The 7,566-nt window shown below is 44.3% G+C and overlaps 1 pseudogene; it reads left to right on the forward strand.

Annotated features, from left to right (window-relative positions):
* Positions 222 to 3,166, forward strand: RHOQP2 (ras homolog family member Q pseudogene 2; annotated as a pseudogene).

Here is a 7,566-nt window from a genome sequence, read left to right on the forward strand (position 1 = left end):
CAGCCTGACCAACATGGAGAAACCCCATCTCTACTAAAAATACCAAATTAGCTGGACGTGGTGGCGCATGCCTGCAATCCCAGCTACTTGGGAGGCTGAGGCAGGAGAATCGCTTGAATCCAGGAGGCGGAGGTTGCGGTGAGCCGAGATTGTGCCATTGCACTCCAGCCTGGACAACAAGAGCGAAACTCCACAAAAAAAAAAAAAAAAAAAAAAAGATGCTTATGATCCGGCGGATCCTCCTGGGTTGGCCAGGCCGGGGAGAGGGCGCGGGCGCCGAGTGGCGGGGGCAGCGGGCGGGCGCGGCGACCGGGGCCGGGGCGGGGATCCTGGCGGCGACCGCGGAGGCGGCAGCGCCCCGGGCCCGCGGCCCCCTCCCCTCCGGCGAGGGGAGCCGCTGGATGGGGCCGGTCGGGGGGCGGCCCTGCGGCGCAGAGCGGCGGCGACGGCGGCGGACCCCCCAGGCGGGCCGGGGCTGAGCCCGGGGCCGGGGCGGGGGCTCCGGGGGGACCATGCCCGGAGGCCGGCGGGCAGCAGCATGGCTCACGGGCCTGGCGCGCTGATGCTCAAGTGCGTGGTGGTCGGCGACGGAGCGGTGGGCAAGACGTGCCCACTCATGAGCTATGCCAACGAAGCCTTCCCGGAGGAGTACCTGCCCACCGTCTTCGACCACTACGTAGTCAGCGTCACCGTGGGGGGCAAGCAGTACCTCCTAGGACTCTATGACACGGCCGGACAGGAAGACTATGACTGTCTGAGGCCTTTATCTTACCCAGTGACCGACGTCTTCCTTATATGCTTCTCGGTGGTAAATCCAGCCTCATTTCAAAATGTGAAAGAGGAGTGGGTACCGGAACTTAAGGAATACGCACCAAATGTACCCTTTTTATTAATAGGAACTCAGATTGATCTCCGAGATGACCCCAAAACTTTAGCAAGACTGAAGGATATGAAAGAAAAACCTATATGTGTGGAACAAGGACAGAAACTAGCAAAAGAGATAGGAGCATGCTGCTATGTGGAATGTTCAGCTTTAACCCAGAAGGGATTGAAGACTGTTTTTGATGAGGCTATCATAGCCATTTTAACTCCAAAGAAACACACTGTAAAAAAAAAGAATAGGATCAAGATGTATAAACTGTTGTTTAATTACGTGAGAAACATCTTCAGTGGCCAAGGAAACTGGCCATTTCTCTGAGAAAGCAAATGAAATGCTACAGCTATACCCAGACCTTTTATAGGTAATGAAGCAGTTCAAAACTTGAAAGAAAACAAAACCTGTCCTCAGAATTCTATAAAGTTTATTAAGAATGTTCCTTAAAGGTTTAAGAAGCAGTAAGCAGTATCTGAAGCCACAATCTATTATAAATACTTTATTTCAACTAGAAGGTACAATCTCTCAGAGGTTTCATAGTTTAAAAAGCTACAATCACATCATGTTGTAACTACATAAAAAACAGAGCTGTAAATGGAACTGCTTGGCTTTGACCATACACATTTCTGCACAGCCCTTACAGAATCTGCACAAAGAAATATCTCCCTTTGTTCCGGTTAATTGTTCTGGTATGTAAGTTGCTTTCTATTCCAGTATATCCAGAGTGGTGAAATAACAAGGCCAGCCACATAGCCAAAGGTCGCTCCAAGCGTACAGGAGATGGGCCATACCTGAGGAGAGAATGTATGAGATCAAAAAAGAACAAATGTTTTATTATTACTTGAGCACAAGTGTAACCTAAATATTTCTATATTAAAGCTTAATGTGCTTTCTTAAAGAATGCCTAAAGTGTAATAAGGTCATAACTGCATTTATCATGAACACTAAAAATGTACACATTTTAGTTAGTGTGTATTAAACTGTAACAAGGCTTCGGGCAATTGTAGATTTAGTTTGACGCTCCCCAAAGTGCATGAGACACATGCTAAAATTACAAATTAAAATTTTGGGTCAGACTTTGCCATAATGCTGGACTCAATTTAGCTCTCTGAACTAGATGGTAATTTTTTTTTAATTCCCACTTTGGCTGTGTACATCAAATGAAATGAGAAGTGTGTATGCTGACCAAACCACAAGAAACTTTCTTTAAGTTGTGTTAAAGAGGAAAGACCTAGAATCCAAGCATGTTACATGAAAATTGTAACAGAGCAGCTGCTTCCACCTTTCAGATATGGATGTTGGAACCACAGCAGAAGTTATAGAGCGACAACTTACATACACACCTAGAATGTAAGTTAAACAAAATACCGGCTTCGGGAGACCCATTTTCTCCAGCCATATTACATTAGGCTAGAAGTAATTAATGTTGATTTATTTCATCTACAAGCAGTTGGTCCCTAAGTGACAGGCTCCGCTTCAAAAAAAAAAGTTGGAGAAAAATTTTCATGTTCTTCTGTGAAGCTTATTTGGTACACTGGAGCCTTTTCTAATCTTTCTCTGGGGGGAACAGGCCGCAGAACTGTGTTAGAGGTGAACCATCTTAATTACTAGTTCTATTACCTAATTCAGCTTCCTTGTTTGGTCTGCTGTGGATCTGCCTTATTGCATATGCCATGCATCAGATAATGGTGTTAGACAAAGCTTCATTGTGAACAACCTAATGCATTTTAGAGAAACAATCTCATCTACACATTTTTTTTCTAGCCTTTCCTACATTTAAACTTGCTGTTGCCTAAATCATAATTTTTTAAATGTCTTTGGTGGGCTTCTGTTAATTCACATGACTTGAGTTTATAGCTGTGTCTACTGCACAGATTGGGTAATGGAACACTAAACTTTTATACTTGAAAATGACAGGCTTAAATGCTCATATCAGTCACAAATCCAGGATGTACTGTCTTGTTGTATGTGAGCTTTGTAGAGATTTTTAAAAATATAAGCATCACCTTCACATTGAAGAGTGGAGAGAGTCTACTGGATGACTGGCCAGGAACTTTCTCTCTGAATCGGACATTTGGATGTCTTCTTTCTTCCAAGAAATGGTGGTTCACATTAAAGTATCATGGCCTTATGTATGCTCAAATGGAATCTTATGTAACTTTCTTATTTAATTTTGGTCTGCTATTTTTAGATAAAATTGAAAGGAATTGTATAAATCAATTAACATATTAGCTAAGTTGTCCAACACATGTTATAAATGAATTACAACAGTAAACTATTATACATTTCCAAAAAATAAAGATATATTGCACAATGTTCACTGCTATATAGTGTACAATATCAAAAATTGGAAACTAACTTGTATGTTATAATTTATGTCAGTTATGAGTGGTAGAAAAACCATTGTAGCTCTTGTCAAAACCTGCATAGGCAGTCTAAGGTAAATATAACACTTGATTTTATCAGGGCCCAGGTTCCTTCTGTCTTGTGGCCACTGTATGAGCCGCAACCCCAAGGTGGAAGATGGCAGTATATGTTTATACACAGCAATGAGGAAGGGAGATAGGAAAGCAAAGTGTGTCCCTTTAGGAAAGATCTTGGAATCTGCCATGCCATATTTCTACTACATCCTGTTACTAAGAACTTAGGAACATGATTGCACCTTTATTGGTAGTCTTTATTCTGGGCAGCCATCTGCCTAGCTTAAAATGTGGAGGGTCCTTACCATAGAGGAAACAGAGAATGAATTTTAGCAAACAACTAGTGGTTTCTGCCACATGACTAAATGACCAACAGGGAAACATATTACAATACATCATACAATTAACCTCTATTCAGTTGTTACAGACTCAAGCAACTCTACATGAATTGGCATGTGAACTTCTTGCAAAACAGGGTGTTTATTATACAGTTTTTTAAAAGTGTGCGAAAAGCCTGCATATGTCCACCGAAAGACATGTAAAAATGCTTATTCCTTTATTATTTGTAATATCCCAAATTTTGAAATGCCACAAATATTCACCAGAAGTACAATGGATAAGTAAAGTGTAGCATATTTATCTAGTAAAATACCATAGGTTATGGGAATGAACAAAGTGTTGCCAGATACAATAATGTGGATGACTCCTAATGTTGCAGCAAAAGAAGACAGGCACAGAACATATAATTTACAACCCCACTTACATAAAGTTTAAAAACAAGTAAAATTAACCTACAGTGCTAGAAAGCAGAATAAAGTCAAGGAATGCTAGTGTCAGGAAAGGAGAAAGCAGCCTCCTGAGGGGCTTCTGAGGGGCTGCTAATGTTCTATTTCTAGAACTGGGTATTGGTTTTTGGGGCATATTCACTGTGTAAAAATTCAGCAAGTTACATGCTGTGATTTGTGCAATTTGTTGTATGGATATTACACTTCAGTATGATTGCAGAAGCCTAGATTATCTAACTGAGGTACTGACAGTAATTCTCAAAATGGAAGGTGGGCTCTCATGCCTGGACAGATGTCCTCACTGCAAGCTGGCATGCAGGGACCAGGTGAGTGGCTTCTGGTCACCAAGGGCAGCTGTGTCACCTGGACATGAGGGCAGACCCCAGGTGAGAGCATCAGTAGGACAACGCTGTCTTACTTCCTGCGGTTCTGTGCTGGCAGCCACAGAAATTGATGCAGACGCTTCCAGCTTCAGTGCTTGTGTTTCTTGCTCACTAGCTCAGCTGGTCTATAATAACAAAGAAATGAATAGTGGGGTGAAGACATATTCCATAGGATTCAGACTCTACTTACAAGTTCTTTATTTAAAAAGTGCACTCTGGGCCGGGCGCGGTGGCTCACGCCTGTAATCCCAGCACTTTCGGAGGCTGAGGCAGGAGGATCACGAGGTCAGGAGATCGAGACCATCCTGGCTAACACGGTGAAACCCCGTCTCTATTTAAAATACAAAAAATTAGCCGGGCATGGTGGCACGTGCCTGTGGTCCTAGCTACTCGGGAAGCTGAGGAAGGAAAATCACTTGAACCTGGGAGGTAGAGTGAGCCAAGACAGCGCCTCTGCACTCCAGCCTGGGCAACAGAGTGAGTCTCTGTCTCAAAAAAAAAGAAAAAGAAAAAAATGCACTCTGTCTGGTCCAGAGGTTCCCGTGGTTCTTACTCCTGGATCCCATCACCCCTCCTGTCTCTACACAGACCCCCACTCCACTCCCAGCTGGCCGCCTACCCAAGCACCACTGCCCTTGGCATCCTTGGCTAAAGTGGTGACTGCATGGGCAGGTGGAGTCTGACAAGTCACAGTGACCACCAGCAGTGGGAGGTCACTTGGCCTCACCTGTAATTCATAGCCCTGACCACACCCTCTGGCATGTGAGTTTATCCACAAGGAACAAAGCTGAGATGAGACAATTTCACTACATAACTTGCTCACGCGGCATCCCGTGGTATGCTAGCATTATTAACACTGGAAGTTCTTTTGAAGATTTTGAAAGTTTAATTGTCATGAGATTTTTCCAAACTAAGTTCATGATATGGATTTTTAAATTGTATCTAATTTAAGTGACATTTCAATTCAAATCTAAATCTAAAACTGATAGACCTAATGATTTCAGGTAATTAATTCTTTTTTGTTTTTGTTTTTGTTTTGTTTTGTTCAAGATGGACTCTTGCTCTGTCACCCAGGCTGGAGTACAGTGGCACAATCTTGGCTCACTGCAACCTCTGCCTCCCAGGTTCAAGTGATTCTCCTGCCTCAGCCTCCTAAGTAGCTGGGACTACAGACACCCACCACCAAGCCTGGCTAATTTTTGTATTTTTAGTAGAGACAAGGTTTCACCATGTTGGCCAGGCTGGTCTCAAACTCCTGACCTCAGGTGATCCACCTGCCTTGGCCTCCCAGAGTGCTGGGATTACAGGGGTGAGCCACCGGGCTGGCCTGATTAGCATCTTTTAACCGAATAAAAACATCCTATTTAAAAGACCAAATATATTACTTCATTTGAAAATTAAAATATAGGGTTGGGCATGGTGGCTCACGCCTGTAATCCCAGCACTATGGGAGGCCGAGCCAGGTGGATCACCCGAGGTCAGGAGTTCTCATGAGATCTGGTTGTTTAAAGGTGTGTAGCATCTCCCCGCTCTCTCTCTTCCTCCTGCTCTGGCCATGTAAGATGTGCCTGCTTCCCCTTCTGCTATGATTGTTAAGTTTCCTGAGGCCTCCCCAGAAACAGAAGCCGGTACAGCCTGCAGAACTGTGAGCCAATTAAACCTGTTGGTTTTTTTTTTTTTTTTTTTAAATAAATTACCCAGTCTCATGTAGTTCTTTTTTTTTTCTGTCACCCAGGCTGGAGTGCAGTAGCGCAATCTCGGCTCGCTGCAACCTCCATCTCCCAGGTTCAAGCAATTCTTCTGCTTCAGCCTCCCGAGTAGCTGGGATTACAGGCGCCCACCACCACGCCTGGTTAATTTTTGTATTTTTAATAGAGACGGGGTTTCACCATGTTGGCCAGGCTGGTGTCAAACTCCTGACCTCAGGTGCTCCACCCGCCTCGGTCTCCCAAACTGCTGAGATTACAGGCGTCGGCCACCGCGCCCGGCCTCAGGTAGTTGTTTATAGCAGTGCGAGAATGGACTAATACACTTGGCTATGAAAATGAAAACAATCACGAAGGCAGGGTCCCTCCCCACCTCTCCATATCCCTGTCTTGTCTGGAGCTGCTTTGGGTAACGCTCAGCCGGGACCAGCACATTACACAAGGCAATGTCCACGTGCCGGGATCAGCAAGGATGAGCTTTCTGTCTGGGGTAAGAGTAAAGACTCTAACCCAGCACCACCTCGAGGGCTTCAGGCTCACTTTCTGTTGCTTGAAGTCCGCGATGTGCTCAGGAAGTCTGCACTCCTTTGAGGCCTCAGCAACAGTGTCCTTGAGCTGAGCTTCCAGCTACGAAACGAAGACACACTTGTCATTAACACAAAGGAAGCACAGCCTTACCAGTTAGATCTTCCCCAAAGGACTTGTAAGAGAGCAAGACCTTAAAGGACCTTTGTATTTTTTCACCCTTTATCAAATCTTATCACAAATTAAAGTTTCAGAAATACACCGCAGGGCTCAGCTGAAGTGGTTGGTTAGTAATAAAACAAGTTTAAATTCGAATTTAAGTTGATATTTTGAGATGAGATTTCAAGAAAGGGTACTGATTTGTGAAAACAAGTACTTCTGATTTCTGTAAAACACTGATTCATTTTTTAAATGGACAATTTCAGACACACACACAGAAGAACAGGAGAGAGTAATGAATCTCCTGTGCCTGGCACCCAGCTTTGACAGTGAGGAGAGGACTTTTTTTTTTTTTTTTTTTTTTTTTTTTTTTAGATAAGAGTCTTACTCTGTCGCCCAGGCTGGAATGCAGTGGTGTGATCTTAGCTCACTGCAACATCCACCTCCTGGGTTCAAGCGATTCTTATGCCTCAGCCTCCAGTTTAGCTGGGATTACAGGCTCACACCACCTCGCCCGGCTAGTTTTTGTATTTTTTTTAGTAGAGATGGGGTTTCACCGTGTTGGCCAGGCTAATCTCAAACTCCACCTCAGGTGATCCGCCCACCTCAGCCTCACCAAGTTGCTGGGATTACAGGCAAGCCACCGTAGTCGGCTGACAGTGAGCAGCTTGAGCTGAGCTTGCTTCATCTCTGCCTACGCACAAACTGCTTGAG

This window comes from Homo sapiens, chromosome 2 (assembly GCF_000001405.40).
Source record: "Homo sapiens chromosome 2, GRCh38.p14 Primary Assembly".
NCBI classification, from domain to species: Eukaryota; Metazoa; Chordata; class Mammalia; order Primates; family Hominidae; genus Homo; species Homo sapiens.